Consider the following 18,950-nt stretch of genomic DNA (forward strand, 5'->3'; position numbering starts at 1 on the left):
AGGGATTTATTTCTTTTTAAAATTTTCCATTAGTTGTCAGATTTCTAGGTGACAGGTTTTATATACTCTTGTGTGATTTTTAAAACAATCTGTCTTCTATACTCATCTAAACTGAATACAAACATTTTTAATTTTTCCCAAAAAGAACTTATAATCTGTTCAGGTACTTAATAATCACCCTAATCTAATCCCAGAGTGCTATACTTGAAGGCACTAAATAAAAAGAATGTCTTTAGCTTAAAGCACACATTGTCTTATTTCAAATTTCATCTCTATCATTGAGTAGTTTGAGGAACCATGGGAAAATCACCTTACCTTTCTAATCCTTACTTTTGCTGCCTATAAAAATGAGGATGTTCCTAACTCATAGAATTATTAAGGACACCATGAAATAGTATATGTAAAGTGCCCAGCCTAATGCCTGGCGCATCATAAGCAGTTGAGGAATGATAGTGGTAGCTGTTGTGTTTTTTGTTTTTTTAAAGCTGGTGTGGTGGTGCTCTGCACCACTTTCTATGCCCTACCCCTACCCCAATTCCCACAGCATGATAATGAGCCTATACTGCCAAGTGAATGCAATTTGATTGAATGTCTTACTGCTTGGCTTTTAGCTGGCTCCTCTATTACCAAGAAGACATGTTTGTTAATCACTGTGTGTTAGAAGAAGGCCTCTATGCTGACCTTACTTCCTGCGGTTGCCCAGCATCTAAAGTCAAATCTCTCAAGCCCATTGACTATGTAAGTACTTTGCAAAATGCATACTTATAAGATTCTTTTTCTTGTCCAGTTTAATTACCACCAATGATAATGTGAAGTTGGAAGAAATGATACAAGGAGAAATATAAAAATCTGAAAAATATGAATAATTCATTTGTCAATCGTAAAACTGAGGTTCATTCATGAACTCCAACAAAAATGTAATATTCTCCTTTTTTAAAAAAAGCAGAGGTGTAAAACTCAAGAACTAGAATAATGTAGGCCTCAACTCCCAGTTTGATACTTTAATCAATTTGAGTGACATTGGCAAAGTTACTTGTTTACCCATCTGTAAAAATAAAAATAAAATAATAACAATAGCACTTACAAGGCCATTGGGATATTAAATGAGATGATGCTTATAAAGTGCACAGCATATGGTGAGTTCTCATTTAAATGTTAGCTATTAGTACCATGGTTGTTATTCTTATAGCTGCTTAAGTATAAAAATAACCTGACCACTTTATTATTCTACTAGGTAAGTCACATGACAGTTTGTCTGCTACTAAGGTTAACTATGTTACTTTAAGGCATGGGCCACCACAGATACTAAATTCAAACCTGTTTTTGGGAACCAGGGCCTTTCTGTCTGGTGTGTGCAGAATGATCTGGGTCACCTCTGAGGCCCATATTTATAGAGTAAGTAGGTTTTCCTTTTTACCACATTTATTTAGAATTTCAAATGTGAGATAAATGGGATCACAACTCCAGGACATCAATTCTGGGCCCCTAGTCAATAGGATCTGTGCAGAGGAGGTAGTGAGGATCTGGGATACTTTCAAGATATCTAATTATGACAATTCCTTGGGGATATGTTTGGTCAAAGCTTCAGTTTTACACAGAGCTGATTAGAAACTCTACATAATAGTTGCAGTAACTCAAACCTTTCTGTCAGAGCTGACTCCAAGGATAATAGCCATACTCAGGATCTTTGATCTCAACCTAAGCAATGTAGTCCTATTTCACAAGGCATTCCTGGATAGAGTATTCTTGGTATCAGACTAATTATAGAGTCTTGGCTGAGAACAAGAATATAAATAGTGTTCTTGGTCTCTCTCAGTGGCTCTGTAGACACCAACATGGAAAGAATAAGTGGCTACTAATACTTCTTGTCTGTTGGAGGAAAAATGGTTTAAAAAAAATAATGTGATCTGGCAAGTCTCTGCAGTCTTTGATAATGCTGGAAAAGACATTGGAAGGTAGTCCATGTTTACTGGAAAGCAATTTTTTAAACAATTTTTAGTGGCCAAATCAGCAGAAAGATACTTACTTGGTGTTAACTCTAAAAGCAAAAGATAGAGGTCTAAATTTGAAAGTACTATCCTGAAAGGGTTTTGTACAACTCTTAATTCAGTGAACTAAACCAACAAAATTTCTAGGGAGGGCATTTTAGAAGCAGGGTCAAAATTAGTGTTACTATTTTTCTTTGAAGGGTTATAATTCCTTTAGATTCATGAAGTGTAAAATGAAAAATTTGGGATGAAAATAAACAGAGATGTTTTCATGTAAGTTGTCATGTGGAGTGGCATGTCCCTAGTTTTGGTCCTGTTTTTGGTCCTAGTTTTTATCCAGGCAGCATAAGTGAAGGTGCCTATTGGGAAGTACTTGAAATCTATAGACTTTTCACTTCAAGAATTGGTTAAAGAATATATTCAGTTTATGTAAGGGTAGCATGTTAGTTATCTTAATGCCATTCATAATATACTGAAAATATTTAAAACATCTTTTGCGAAGATGTGTTATAGCAGCAGGTTTGTGGGAGGAACATGAGGGAGTTTGGATATCCTACAAAGATCTGCAAAGTGACCATGAAGACACCTCAACAGGGGTCCCAAAGCCTTAAGTTGATCAGACCTAGGGAGATTGCTATGTAAACCAGAAGGTCAATTTAGTGTTTTGTAATAAGTGGATTCTAGTGACTGGAATGCTCGAAAATTCTGTCCTGGGCACTTTTTCCCCCTCTCTGGAAGAACAAGGGAAACTGAATTAGTCATCAGGAGGTTATTTGTTGAGCATAAGATTTGGGTAAAATAAGGTAGATACCTTGAGATTAGCCTGTAGGCTAATGTTCCTCCTAAAAGAGAGTCCTTTTACTCTCTAGGTCCCAGTTGCTCACACCCTCCAGATTCTGTCTCATTTCCCTGGACAGTGCTAGATACACTACCTATTCTGCTTCTCTGATTCATTCTGATTCTTTCTGTGATTCTCCCCACTATCTTCGTAGTTAGGAATTGATATGCCTTTTTTCGTAGATTTCCTAATACTGCTGCCTATGCCACAATCCAGTGTAATTCTGGATTCATTCCAGGAAATGTTTCTGTGTAATTAAGTTGACATTATGTAAGTATGAGGTAATCCTTTGCTTTTGCTTTTGTTAGTTAAAACTGCAGAATTCTAGGGATGTTGCCTGCAGTTGGTATTCCCAGACATGCTATGGCTTGGTGCTTAAGTGTCACAATGGTATAATATTGAGAAGTCTTAAGATTTCATCTTCATAGAAGATAAGTATATTTTGAAAATGACAGTGTGCTCCAGGCTAACTTCTGTTGGTACAGGTGAAGGTTACATTCTAGAGGGGCATTGACACATAGTTTGCAGTGTTGCAGTCATTTTATAGTGAATGGAGCTAGGAGTGTAGTTCATAGTTCTGCTTCTAACGAATATGACCTTAAGCAAATCTCTTAATTTATCTGTATCTCAGTTAATTCTTCTGTAAAGAAACTGTTAGAACAGGTATTTTCAAATCATGGACAGCCTCCAGTTCTGTTGCAAATAAGTATCCTGGTCATATTTCTAATTGGATATGAAAAAGAATTTATCTGGCTTTAGGATTCACAAGGTCAGAAGGAATAATATCATGTATTAGCTTTCACAACAGTCTCCAGAATCATAGTGGTTTAAAACAAATGTTCGTTTCATTTTCATATTTTATCTCAAAATGGCAAGACAGTTGCATGGCCTCCACTTTAGGCTTGTTAGTTGGCTTTAGATACACTTTTGATATATGCTTTGCATTGGGACCAGGCTAATGGGAGCACCTCCAATTGGGGACATGACTATTTTCATGACAGGGGAAAGAGGGAGCAAGGTCACAATCACAGAGTCACATTTGAAGCTTCTGCTCAGATTCATTTTGCCTATGCACACATCATTGTGTCCACTCACATTCTGTTTCCAAAAGCAAGTCATAAGACCAAGCCTGACATAAATTAGGCAGGGGAATAGACTCTCACTTGGGCAGGGATGAAGTTGACAAAGTATATTCAAACAATAATACAATCTATCAGAGATGTATAAACTCATAGAGGTGTTCTCTGTTACTAGATTTTGGAGAAAATGAAAGGAGGTGAAATTTTAATAATTTATCTCTGCCACTGTAGCAGAGCTAACTTCCTTTTAAAAACTTGAGATTAATTTTTAGTGACAGTCTGGAGGTGGTTTGGTGGCTCTCAAATGAAGTATATGGTAGACAAGTACAAAAGTCTGCCTCAGAATATGGTCCCCAGTTCTCTTTCAAAATTCATTTAGAATTCTAAAATCATCAGGTAATTTAATATAGGGAAATTTAATTTAATCATACTAAGACAGCTCTATGTAAGCATCTGGGAAAAATAATAACAAATTAGGTGGCCTAGAATTAGGAAAGTGAACTAAAACCCAGGGTTTTCATCAGGCTCTTCTCAGAGATATATATCTGGAAAAATTACATGACTAATAATAGGCCTAAATATCTATCTCAAAACATGGTGAATGGGTTTCTATTGTCTTCTCTTTAAGTTTTTCAGTAGCCTTGGTTTGGTAATGGCTTGATTGCTTAACAGTGATTACAAGAAGACCTTTTAAGATGAAAAAGATTGAATATCATGCCTAAGGAAGTTTAAGTGTTTTGTGGGGGCTGAAACCAAAGCCTTCTATATTTAGGAGTAATCATACTGGGTGGAAAAGGGCAATAAAATGATTAAAAAAAAAAAAAAAAAGGCTTAGGATGATGCTTGGGGCGTTGGTGTAGAGTTCCATGAATGAAAAACACATCTGATTAGTAATTTTGTAGAAGAAAGTTTAAAGGTACTCCATTTTGCTTTGATCAAAGAAAAATATTTAAGGTGGCTGAATTCTTTCTCCCATCTCAGCCTCCGAAGTAGCTGGGACTACAGGTGTGCACCACCATGTCTGGCTAGTTTTTGTGTGTTTTTTTGGTTGAGATGGGGTTTCACCGTGTTGCCCAGGCTGGTCTCAAACTCCTGGGCTCAAGGGATCCACCTGCCTCAGCCTCCCAAAGTGCTGGGATTACAGGTACAAACCACTGCACCGTCCAGCTGAATTCTTTATATAAATATCACAAATGCTGCACAATAACACCATTGCTGAAGATGCATTTTATATTTATTCAATCTAAAGTATTGAACACCTGCTCTTTACTAAATACTGTGCTAAGTACTGAATATGAATTAAAAAAGAATTAGATGGCATAACAAACTCATCAAATCTAAGTGTTATCTTACTCTTGGTCTCTCAAGTGTAGATGTTTCTCAGATACCTATTCTTGGCCTTTCCTCTCCTGTACTTAGAAATTTTCATTATCATAACATCAGCTCTTACCTCCATCAGTGTAGAAGATTTGCAGATATCTAGAGTAAGCAGTACTCAGTTATTCCCTGAGCTTCATTCCCAGATTCCACATGGGTCTTCAGCATGTTTTGCCAGCATCCCATTTTCCTTCATAGACTTGTTCTTCTTTTCTGCTCTGTTTCTGTTGAAAGCAATCATCATTACCCCCCTCCCCCCACTTTTTTTAGATAGAGTCTGGCTCTGTCACCTAGGCTGGGGTGCAGTGGCACCATCTTGGCTCACTGCAACCTCCGCCTCCCAAGTTCAAGGAATTCTCATGCCTCAGCCTCCCAAGTAGCTGGGATTACAGGCACGTGCCATCACTCCCAGCTAATGTTTGTATTTTTAGTAGAGACGGGGTTTCACCATGTTGGCCAGGCTGTTCTCAAACTCCTGACCTCAAGGGATCTGCCTGCCTCATCCTCCCAAAGTGCTGGGATTACAGGTGTGAGCCATCACACCCAGCCCCATGATATGTCTTAAGCTTTTCCTCTTATCTCCTTTCCATTGTCATGACTAAGTTTAGAGCCTCATTCTGTCTTTCTAAAACTGTTGTGATGGGTACATAAGTAATTTTCTTCCTTTGGCCTCTTTCTTTTTCAGTTCTTTTTATTTGCAGCATTGAGCATGTAGCCTTCCCATAAAGCCCAGACCATGACATTAGGTCCTACTTTTCCAATATTATTGCTCAATCATTTTCATGTATCCTGTTTACAAGCTTTCCCTCCCCCCTCCCAATACCTTCCTTAAACTTTCTCTATTTTGTGTTTTTATGTGGAAACATAGAATGAAGTTTTTCTTTCCCCTCTCTAAATTCTTTGAGATCTAATTTAAAGGACCTCAATTCTAGGAAGCCTTCAGTGATCCTCATTTCTTAAAGTGACTTTTGTCTGCCTTAATATTCTTTCTCTGCATCTTAAGATGCTTTTCACTTTCTCCTTTTCATCACAGTTACTGAAACTGCAAAGCCATTGAGGGGATGATTTATATTTATTGTAGCTTTGAATTCTGTCACTCTTATGTCCCCTCTACTTAGCACAATGCTATAAAAATATCAAGAGTCCATTATGTAATAAGCTGACTAAATAAACTCATTCATTCATGCCTAAAAATATATAGGCAGTAGTTGTATAAAGTTCATTCTTCTACTTCAGAGCTCATTCCATAAGAGGGGTTGTACTTTGGACTTACTATAGGTTTGTGTCTTATCCATTTACAATATTATAATAATAGCTTTAGAAGTTGGGGGATGGTGGGGAACCTAAGTTGAAAAAATGGTAATTTCCAGCTGCTAGCTATTGATGAAATGCTTTAAAGTCAGACTGGGTATTAAAAGAATAATAGCATATATAGACAGGAGCAAGATACATGAGAACCTGTTGATTGATCTAAGGTGGAGTTAACTGCGACTTTTCAGACTATTGCATAAAACATTTAAGCGCTGGACCAGGAGTGTGTAGGGTAACCTATTTTATTGCATTTCCATGGGAGCAGTAGTTAGCTGGTTGCTTCTCTAATTTCCCCACTGGGGCCTTGGAATGGAAGTTTGGCTGCCTTTGAAGTAATAATCCAGCCCTGGCAGCTCCAAGGAGGCAAAACCAAAGAAACATTATAACAAGAGGCTGTAGAAAAACTTCAGATAAAATTAAGACTGTGATAACATAAATGATCTTAGGAAGTAGAATAAGAGTTGGCAAGACAATGATTCATTCTGTAGAAGGATACTGAATAAGAGGCACAGCTACAAATAGAGGGAGACTATAAATCCAGCCTCAGAATGAAAGGAAGGAATGAGTTTATAAAGTGTAGAAGACAAAAATTAATTCAAGATGGATTAAAGACTTAAATGTTAGACCTAAAACCATAAAAACCCTAGAAGAAAACCTAAGCAATACCATTCAGGACATAGGCATGGGCAAGGACTTCATGACTAAAACACCAAAAGCAATGGCAACAAAAGCCAAAATTGACAAATGGGATCTAATTAAACTAAAGAGCTTCTGCACAGCAAAAGAAACTACCATCAGAGTGAGCAGGCAACCTACAGAATGGGAGAAAATTTTTGCAATCTACCTATCTGACAAAGGGCTAATATCCAGAATCTACAAAGAACTCAAACAAATTACAGGAAAAAATCAAACAACCCCATCAAAAAGTGGGCAAAGGATATGAACAGACACTTCTCAAAAGAAGACATTTATGCAGCCAATAGACAAATGAAAAAATGCTCATCATCACTGGCCATCAGAGAAATGCAAATCAAAACCACAGTGAGATACCATCTCACACCAGTTAGAATGACGATCATTAAAAAGTCAGGAAACAACAGGTGCTGGAGAGGATGTGGAGAAATAGGAACACTTTTACACTGTTGGTGGGACTGTAAACTAGTTCAGCCATTGTGGAAGACAGTGTGGCGATTCCTCAAGGATCTAGAACTAGAAATACCATTTGACCCAGCAATCTCATTACTGGGTATATACCCAAAGGATTATAAATCATGCTGCTATAAAGACACATGCACACATATGTTTATTGTGGCACTATTCACAATAGCAAAGACTTGGAACCAACCCGAATGTCCATCAATGATAGACGGGATTAAGAAAATGTGGCACATATATACCATGGAATACTATGCAGCCATAAAAAAGGATGAGTTCATGTCCTTTGTAGGGACATGGATGAAGCTGGAAACCATCATTCTAAGCAAACTGTCACAAGGACAGAGAACCAAACACCACATGTTCTCACTCATAGGTGGGAATTGAACAATGAGAACACTTGGACACAGGGCAGGGAACATCACACACCAGGACCTGTCATGGGGTTGGGGGAGTCAGGAGGGATAGCATTAGGAGGAATACCTAATGTAAATGACAAGTTAATGGGTGCAGCACACCACCATGACACATGTATACATATGTAACAAACCTGCATGTTGTGCACATGTACCTTAGAACTTAAAGTATAATAATAATAAAAAAAAGTGTAGAAGAATTTGGTTACTATTAAACTTTTTAGCTGAACCTATATATATAGTTAATGGTATTAACTATTATGCACATTTTGAAAATGCAGGCCAACAAAAACTTACAGTAAACATCACACTTCCCAGTGAGATATCTGAAACAGCGCTCTTTAAATTCAGGCAGCAGGCAAAGGTCTCCCTATTACCACTACTATTCGGTATTCTGAAGTTCTATCTAATAAAAAAAAATCTAAAAAATAAAATAAGATTAAAACAAAAAAGGAGAAAACAAAACTGGCAAGAGCATCTATGGTGTAAATGATAAATTATTAGGGCTAAAGCACATTTTTAAAAGTTGCAGAGTATAAGATAAATAGCAATTAAACCATAGAAATTAAGGGTACTTATAAATAAATCTAACACAAGGGAATAAGTTTTTTTCCTAGGAATTTTATAAAAACTCTTGAAGGAAGTAAACATTGAGAGATACAATCTTTTATAGGTAAAAGGACTCAATATTGTAAAGATATGGTCTTCCCCAAATTAATATTGTTTCAGGCAAAACACAGTGTTCTCTCCTTTTAGGGGGTAGAGGTGGGGAGTAAAACATGGCAAGCTTATCCTATGATTAATTTGGAAAAGCTATTGGGTCAAAAATCGCCAAGATAATTTTTAAGAACAACATGTAGGGTCACTTATCCTACCAAGTATATATTGCTTTATACAGCAGTAATAATTAGTGGGAATCAGTACAAGGAGAGACAAATGGGACAGAGGAATAGGGTAGCATGGAAACTGACCTATATAGTAATGGAATTTGGAAGATAACAGCATTCCAATGGAGCTATGATGAACTGTTAAATAAATGGTGTTGAGACAATTGACCCATTCCATGGAAAAAGATAGTTAGAATCCTACTTTACTCCAAACACAAAAATAAGTTCCAGATGGATTAATAACAAGCTAAATGTGAAAAGCAAACTTTACAACTTAGAAGAAAATATAGGAATCTACCCTGATGATACTGCAGTAGGATGGATTTCTTCAAACAGAAAAAGCACAAATGAATAAGAAAAAGGTGAAAGGCAAATGTATTAGTGTCCTATTGCTGATGTAACAAATTACTGTAAACTTAGTAGCTTAAGATGACAGATATTTACAGTCTTGCAGTTCCACAAGTCAGAAGTCTGAAATTGGTCTTACTGTGGTAAAATTAAGGTGTTGGCAGTCATTTCATCTGGGAAGCTCTAGGGGAGAACCCATTTCCTTACCTTTTCTAGCTTCTAGAGGCCACCAGCATTCCTTAACTCATGACCTTCTTTCATCTTCAAAGTGCATCACTCTAGTCTCTGCTCTTTATCTGCTGTCTCTTAACCCTCCTACCTTCCTCTTACAGGGACCCTGGTGGCCACTTTGGGCTTACCTGAGTAATCTAGATGATTGTGCCTATCTCAAGGTCCTTAATTACTAATATCTGTAAAGTACCTCTTGACCATGTTAGGTAACATATTCAACATATTCACCATATTCACAGGTTCTAAGAATTAGGATGTGAACATTTGTGGGGTAGGGAGAGGAGGCAGGCATTAATTATTCAGACTGCCACAGCAAGCCACAGAATATATTTGCAGTCCATATAACCTACAAAGGTTTAGTGTACCGAATATAAGAAGAGCTCTTAGCTGGGTGTGGTGGCTCACATCTGTAATTCCAGTGCTTTGGGAGGCTGACCTGGGAGGACTGCTTGAGTTCAGAAGAGCCTGGACATGGCTGGTCCCTGTCTCTACAAATAAATAAATAAATAAAATAATTAGAAGAGCTCTTTCAAACCAATTCAGAAAAATCCACTTCAAAAACCAACAGAGGATATAAATAGGCAGTTTATAGAAGAGGGAAAAATGGCTCAGGACATCCAAAGGATGTTAACCCTCACTACTGATCAAGGAAATACAAATTAAAACAATTATAAATAACATTAGCTTACTCTAGCTACAGGCATTTTAAAATCTGAAAATACTAAGGTTTGGCTTAGTTGCAGGGAAGTAAGATTATTCATATATAGCTAGTGGAAGAAGTGTTAATTACAATGGTGGGGGGAATAAGAATGTCTGTTGCAGCTATGATGGATGAAACAAATAACCACACATTCCTATAAGGGAATGAAATATAGTAGTTACAATGAATTGGACAGCTACACGTATGAAGAGTCAAATTTCAAACACAGTAGGCAAGGAAAGCAGGCTACTAAAGATGTTACAATAGAATACATTTTCTGTAAATTTTAAAAACAAAAGATGCATAACCATTAATAGAAACAGAAAAACATGAGCTGAAAAGATTTACAACTTGAGCATAGTGGTCACCTCTGGGGGTGGTGGGAGTTTAAATTCATCTGTATTTGCTATGTTTTATTTATTTTAAAATGTGATACAAATATAGTAAAATTAAAATGTAATACTTCTGGGTTTTAGGTATATGGTCATCTATGTTATTCTTTTTAAAATGTATCATAATTTTTTTTTAAATAAGGAGAAAACAAAGATCAGTAAGAAAGGTAAATCCATGTTGAAACTGACTTTCTAAACCAAATGAGAGAGGCTCTATGAGAAGGATTATAGTTTACTGGTGAAGAGTTTGGTTTGAATGTCTTAGAGACCTTCTTGGTTCAAGTCCTGACTCTACCATTAATAACTGTTAGCTGAGTGACCCTGGGCGTGTTTCTGACCACTCATTCTATGAGGCCAGCATCATTCTAATACCAAAACCTGACAGAAACACATGGAGAAACAAAACTTCAGGCCCATATGCCTGATGAACAAAGATGCAAAAATCCTCAACAAAGTACTGGCAAACTGAATCCAGCAGGACATCAAAAAGTTAATCCACCACAATCAAGTAGGCTTTATTCCTGGGATGTAAAGTTGGTTCAATATATACAAATCAATAAATGTGATTTATTACATAAACAGAACTAAAAACAGAATCCTCATAATTATCTCAATAGATGCAGAAAAGGCTTTCAATAAAATTCAGTATCCCTTAATGATAAAAACCCTTAACAAACTAGGCATTGAAGGAACATATCACAAAATAATAAAGAGACTTATATGACAAGCCCATTGCCAGCATCATACTGAATGAGTAAAAGCTGGAAGCATTCCCTTGAAAACTGGAACAGGAGAAGGATGCCCACTCTTACCTCTGCTGTTCAGTATAGCACTGGAAGACCTAGCCAGAACAAGCCCACAAGAGAAAGAAGTAAAAGGCATCCAAATAGAAAAAAAGGGAGTCAAGCTATCTCTCTTTACAAATGATATGATTCTATACTTAGAGAACCCCATAGTCTCTGCCCAGAGGGTCCTAGATTTGATAATTAACTTCAGTAATATTTCAGGATACAAAATCAGTGTAGAAAAATCAGTAGCATTTCTATACACCGGTAACGTCCAAGCTGAGAGCCAAATCAAGAATGCAATTCCATTCACAATAGACACAAAGAATAAAATATCTAGATATACAGCTCACCAGGGAGGTGAAAGATCTCTACAATGAAAATTACAGAACACTGCTGAAAGAACTCAGAGACAACACAAACAAAGGGAAACACTCCATGCTCATGGATAGGAAAAATCAATGTCATTAAAATGGCCATACTGCCCGAAGCTATTTACAGATTCAATACTGTTCCTACCGAAGTACCAACATTTTTTCACAGAATTAGAAAAAAGCTATTCTAAAATTCACATGGGAACCAAAAAAGAGCCCAAATAGCCAAGGCAATCCTAAGCAAAAAGAACAAAGCTGGAGGCATCATGCCACCCGATTTCAAACTATATTACAAGGCTACAGTAACCAAAACAGCATGATACTGGTACAAAAAACAGACACAGAGGCCAATGGAAAAGGTTAGAGAACTCAGAAATAAAGCCTCACACCTACAAAAATTTGATCTTTGACAAAGTTGACAAGAATAAACAGTAGGGAAAGGACTCCCTATTCAGTAAATGGTGCTGGAATAATTGGCTAGCCATATGCATAATATTGAAACTGAACCCCTTGCTTTCACCATTTGCAAAAAATAACTCAAGATGGATTAAAGACTAAAATATAAAACCTAAAACTGTAAAAAACCCTAGAAGAAAATCTAGGAAATACCATTCTGGACGTGGGCCCTGGCAAAGATTTTATGAGGAAGCCCCCAAAAGGAATTACAACAAAAACAAAAATTGACAAATGGGACCTAACCTAAAGTGCTTCTGCACAGCAAAAGAAACTATCAACAGAGTAAACAGTCAGCAGAATGGGAGAAGATATTCACAAACTATGCATTCAACAAAGGTCTAATATCCAGAATCTAAAAGGAACAAATCAACAAGCAAAAAACAAACAACCCCATTAAAAAGGGAGCAAAGGACATGAACAGACACTTCTCAAAAGAAGATATGCATATGGCCAACAAGCATATGAAAAAATGCTCAACATCCCTAATCAGTAGAGAGATGCAAATCAAATACACAGTGAGATACCATCTCATACAAGTCCAAATGGCTGTTATTAAAAAGTCAACAAATAACAGATGCTAGTGAGATTGTGGAGAAAAGGGAATGTTTACACTGGTTGTAGGAATGTGCATTAGTTCATCCACTGTGGCAAGCAGTTTGGAGATTTCTCAAAGAATGTAGAACTACCATTTGACCTAGCAATTCCATTACTGGGTATATACTCAAAGGAATATAAATCATTCTATCATAAAGACACATGCACATGTATATTCAGGGCAGCACTATTCACAATAGCAAAGACATGGAATCAACCTAGGTACCCATCAACGTTGGACTGGATAAAGAAAATGTGGTACATAGCCACCATGGAATACTGTGCAGCCATAAAAAAAGCAGAATATCGAATATGTTCTTTGCAGCAACATGGATGCAGCTGGAGGCCATTATCTGAAGCTTATTAACACAAGAACAGAAAACCAAATATGTAATGTTTTCAATTATAAGTAGAAGATAAACATTAAATACACATGGGCACTATGAAGGGAACAATAAACACCAGGGCCTGCTTGAGCAGAGAGGGTGGGAGGAGAGTGAGGATTGAAATACCACCTATTGGGTACTATGCTTATTACCTGGCGATGAAATAATCTGTGCATGAAACCCCTGTGACATGCAATTTATCCATGTAACAACCCTGCATATATACCCCAGAACAGAAAATAAAAGTTGATAGGAAAAAAAATGAAAAAATACAGTTCTGCAATCCCTAAACTGAATGTATTTTGGGATTTAAAGTTTTTCAAATTTTAAACAGTAATATGATTCATGTATGGCCTAAAAGGAAACACACCCAGCAGGGTTCTGGACTGTACCCCTAATTAAACATATTTCTGTTCCTATAGTGAAATTTATGCACAGCTACACAAATTGGGTAGTATTATAAATAGACTTCAATTTATTCAGGTAGAGTTATGTTGACTAGGAAAAAAATTTTTGATTTTAAAGCTTTTTGGATTTCAGAACAATGAATAAGGTATTGCACATATATATCTATGGATGGATACAGATATAGGTATATAACTTAGAACAATAATTCCCAGCACATATTAAGTGCTATATATGTTAGTTTCTACTGTTATTATCACTTAAATTATTTAAATTATTATTTTAGTTGATGGGATGAGGAGGAACAATGAGTTTTCTTCTTTTGTATTGAAATTTTCATTTATACAATTTGGTCGAGTATTCTTTTTCTTTGACAACTACATCTTCCTTTTAGAAACTGTATCCTCTTTGCATGATTTAGACTTAATCCGGCAGGAATGTCCTGTTAACTGCTGACATCTAAGAAGAGCCTTTAGCCACAAATGGTTGGCCAGCTTCAAAGTTAACATGGACTAAGGCGAAGACATTTGTGGAGCTCAAACTGTAATCAAATATTTTTTTTTTTATGCTTGGAAAGTTCGGATTACTGTGTCATCTTCAGTTTTAAAGATTATTAATAGTTGATCTCTCTTCCTATTTTCATGTTAGGGAAATGTATCAGAAAAATATGATTTTAAAATATTAATAGTTCTTCAGTACCCTTTATTTCCAAAAGATTATTAACCACCCCCCATCATCCTGCCCAGGTTAGCACTGTGTTGACTTTCCTAATCTTCCTAACCTTTAAATACATTTATAATTCAAGTATACTTATAAATTAAATATTTAAATTAAAATAAAGTAGAAAAAAATCAAAGCTTCAAAAACAGTAGATGTTCTCAAATGTAAAATTTGATAGTTGGACCACATAATGATATCCTTTTGTTGTTTATGAGAGGTGGGATATTTTTCCACGCTGGTTTATTAGCTATGTCTCTTCTTTGGTTAATGCTATTGGCTTACCTTCTTTGCCCATTTGTCCAATAGGTTTCTTAGAGTACCCTTACTAATTTATATAAGCTGTTAAAATGTTTCAAATATTTTCTGTCATCTTGTACAATTTTTTTCTCAATATCCCTGCATCATTATTTTTAAAAACATAGATGTTTACACATTTTTTGTTCCCTCCATCAAGCTTTTTATCTTTTCTTGAGATACATTTCTAGAGGTAGAATTGCTAGAATGATGGGATTGAATTTAATGGCGTTTCAGTGACAATACCAGCGTTTTGAAAAATATCTTTGTAGGCATTCTGCAAAAGGAAGAGGAAAAATGTACACAGGTCAATTTTTCTTAGAATAATGCTTAGCATTTAAATTACTTTCTCATAATAGGCTTCTAGATTTTTTCCCCCTCTGGGATATAAAACAGTTAACATCATGTAACCAGTAAATGCCTTTGATGTAGATGTCTGTTGCTCTTACCCCAGCCAGCTCTTCTCTGGGGAGAGTGCTGCTGATTGTTGACTTGGAGCACTGGCCAGGCTCCTTGCCATCTGTTCTTCCTCACTAATCAGTAACTCAACAAGTAGATGTGTGTAAAAAGGTAAAGTGGAATACTTTCTAAAAATCTTGAGAGTGAAGATGTTGAAAAAAATCCACCAATATAGTCAGGGCTGTGGATTTTTATTGTCTGCTTACTTTCAGTTTATTTTATAAACTGTTGGGATGCTTCCAATTTATTTTGCAGATAGCAGAAGAGGTGCCTAACCTTGCCTGTGGCCACTCAATAACTCAGTGATTAGAGATGAGTTTTTATTCCTGGTGCAGTCAGTGGTGTCTACTGAGGGAAAATCAATGCTCCTAGGTAGCCTGTCCATCTTAGCTTATGGTCTCACTGCACACAGCAATTGTTACATTCTTTGCCAGTATCCTCTAACTCCTAAATCTGTACTGTCCAACACCATAGCACTAGCCACCTGTGGTTATTTAAATTAATTCCATCCCTTGATCACACAAGCCACATGTGGCTAGTGGCTGCCATATTGGAGAGTCCAGATACATAACATTTCTATCACTTCAGGAACTTCTGGAAGATGCTTTAAACTTTCCTTGATCAGCAGACAGTGTTGGCCACATAACGTAAAGAGAAATTTATTCACACATTTCCTGATTTTAAATGGACATTTCTGGGCATCCTTTTTATCTTTCCTTTTATTTCAGAGGTGGAGTTCATCCTTTCCAAAGTGATCTTTTTCCTCATGAACTGATGGGAAGCAATGGATTGTACCTCTCCCTCCTTCCCTGGAACATCCTTTTTGCCTTGCAGTATTCAGCTTCTCTCTATTCCACTAACGCCTTCCACAAAGCATGCTCATAGGCCACTACCCCGTTTCCCTCCTGCTCTTCACCAAATTTTTCTAATAGTCTGTATACCTTTATAGCCTGTACAGTTTCTCACCACTTACTCTTCAGCCCTTACAACCTAGATTTTAACTTCATTTCTGACATGGTGCTGAAACAGCATTCATAGGGTTACTAGCTGCCTTCTGATTATCAAACCCAAACAGCCATATCTCAGTCACCCTCTCCCTCGACATGGAAAGAATTTGATGCCATGGGGCAAGTCTTCCTTATAATTCTCTTCCTCCTTCACTTCTACAGTGTAAATGGGTTCTGTTTTGGCTGTCTTCTCCTGATTCATTTGTTCAGTCACTTCCACCTCCCATGTTTCATCATCGCCCACCTGTGTATGTCAGTGCAGTTCTAGTTTCCTTGCATTTCCATTTTCTTATCCATGGCTCTAGTTATTACCCAGATTCTGAGAATTCCCAAACCCAACATCTCTAAACCTGGTCTTTCCCTGGAACTCCAGATCAAAAGGTCCAGTATATGTTGGACATCACTGTTAAGATTATCCTGGCTCTATCTCAACATTAAGATATCTGGGCATGCTTTCCTCCTGATTTCTTTATATATAACCGATTATACCAGCATGTCCCAAGCCATGACTTTTCACATTTTTCCTCACTTACTGATTCCATTTGTTTGCCTTAACTAGCATGTCTGTTTTATCACTGTGATATTAATAGTCTTCCTGGCCATCCTTTACTCCTAACCTTCCCCCTAACCCCTGTTTTAGGTCTGGGTCTATTTTTCTCTGACCTCATATATTGCACCAGTACTGATGCCGTTACTTCCATTCTCTCTGTTCTTCACTTATACTGTTGTCAGACAGATTGCCTGAAGGCCATTAAAAAATACATATACACAATGCCAACGTGTAATAATTACCAACTTAAAATTAATAATACCAATTTAAAATAAATATTCCCATGGTTCAAAAGTCAAAATATACCAAAAGGCACTTAGTGAAAAACTTTGCTTCCACTTGTGCACTTGTGCCCTTTATCTTCTCTTACACAGTCTTCCCAACAGGCAGCCATGGTTACCAGTTTTTTTTATTTTTTAGAAAAATTTTAATGTGTGTACAAGCGCATACATATGTATGTGCACAGAAATTTTCCTTCTCTGCAAATGGTAGTGTATGAAATACGTTTTTCATACCATCCTTTGTGTTTATTTCTAAACAATATATCTTGGTGATCTTTCATAAAGAGCTCCCCATTCTTTTTTACAGCTGTATATGATTCTTCTGTGTATGAACCATAATTTATGTAACCAGTCCTCTCCTGATGGGCGTTTAAATCATTCCACACCCTTCACTGTTCCAAACACTGCTGCAAAGAAAAACTATTTCATAATTCATCCTTCTCTTATGCAAGTATAAGCAGGTCCCTTGTGAGGGTCACTGTGAGAGCTTGTTATTTTCTGCCTGTTCATTTATTGTTCTTTGACCCTCCACTGCCCCTGCTGCTAGTGCTTTGCTTCTTATCTACCGAGTTGCAGTTGCTTCAGCCCACTCATAGTCCTTAGTTCAGAAGCTTCAAGAACTTTCCACTGGGAATAGATCTGTCTCTGTCCTGTCAGTGTGGGAGGAGAAGCAAGCAGTGCAATGCACCATAACAAACTGTGGGAGCACTTGCCGCTGTTTCCTGTTGGGCTGATTTGCCGTTCCCCCAACATGTCCCATGTGTTTCTCTTGTCTTGCTTTGCACAGAATGTTTTCCCTCTGTTCACCATCTTCTTTCCAGATCCACTGCATCCTTTGAGACTGAGCTCACAAGCCACCACATCCATGAAGCTTGATTCCTGCTCCCTTCTGCTAAAAATAATCTAGCTTTCTACTGAGGACTCTGACACAGCATATCTTTTTCTGCACTGGATTACATTACAATATCTGTACAGTTTTAATTTAACTATTTGTTAGTAATTCCCCAGACACAAGGATAGATGGTGCCTTGTTTTATCATCCCCCCAAAAGTCTCTTAACATGGTGTCTTGCATACATTAATGAATGAAAAAGCAATACTGAGTCTATTCTTGTCTGACATGATGGGTTGAAGAAATACTTTTAATGCAGAAATCACCACCATTCTTGTGCATTTCAGCTTTTTTTAAATTAAAAATGCCTTTATTCTTCCTCCTAGGAATATTTTTAAGAGCTTACCACCACAGAGTCTTACATTCCTAGTGACTGCTCCTGTGACCTCCTAGAAATTAGGGTGCCATTCCATTCCATATTTATTCTGTTGCCAGCTAAAAGCATTGGCAGGACTAATTATGGTCCATATTACAGTACCACAAGACCTTAATCTGTGATTTGGAATCATGGGTCTCTTTATTATGGCTGTTTTTATTATGAGATTGATTGCTTTTCTGATAACTTGAATTTTAGTTTACAAAAAAGTGAACAAAAATTATTAATAAAATCTAATCTTTCCAGTGCAGTTTTGACTATAGCAACCTTAGAGAGTAAAACAGTAAACTCCATGCATTTAAGAATACAATGGATTCAGGGTACCCTGTGTTCAGACTGGGATGTCACTGAGATATGGCCACTCCTATGGTGACGCTTTCTTTTTCTGCTAATAGGTTTTTGAAGAACCCTCCATCAGCCTTTTTGCTCTGGAGCATTGTGAGGGAAGAGAGTTACATCTAGAAGAGGCTGTGAACTCTGTTCTGAACAAGGACCTACACTTCTACACCCAGTCTGTGTGGGTAAAAAGTGGACTGTAAGTATGGGAAAAAGGCTTGGTCTGGTTCAGTTACTGTTTTAAGACAGAGTTGCAGAGTTGCAAACCAAGTCCACTGTGTAGTAGTACGCATTCAAGTGGTCTTGAGGAAGAG

The 18,950-nt window shown here is 37.0% G+C and overlaps 1 protein-coding gene across 2 annotated transcripts in view; it reads left to right on the plus strand.

Annotated features, from left to right (window-relative positions):
- The window catches only part of CRYBG3 (crystallin beta-gamma domain containing 3), a 122,974-nt gene that overhangs the window by 92,988 nt on the left and 11,036 nt on the right, over positions 1 to 18,950 (plus strand). For both annotated transcript variants that reach the window (NM_153605.4, XM_005247117.5), the window contains 2 exons: positions 612 to 738; positions 18,696 to 18,835. In NM_153605.4, coding sequence (NP_705833.3) covers positions 612 to 738; positions 18,696 to 18,835 — 267 coding nt within the window. The remainder of the gene's footprint in view (positions 1 to 611; positions 739 to 18,695; positions 18,836 to 18,950) is intronic.

This window comes from Homo sapiens, chromosome 3, assembly GCF_000001405.40.
Source record: "Homo sapiens chromosome 3, GRCh38.p14 Primary Assembly".
NCBI lineage: Eukaryota > Metazoa > Chordata > Mammalia > Primates > Hominidae > Homo > Homo sapiens.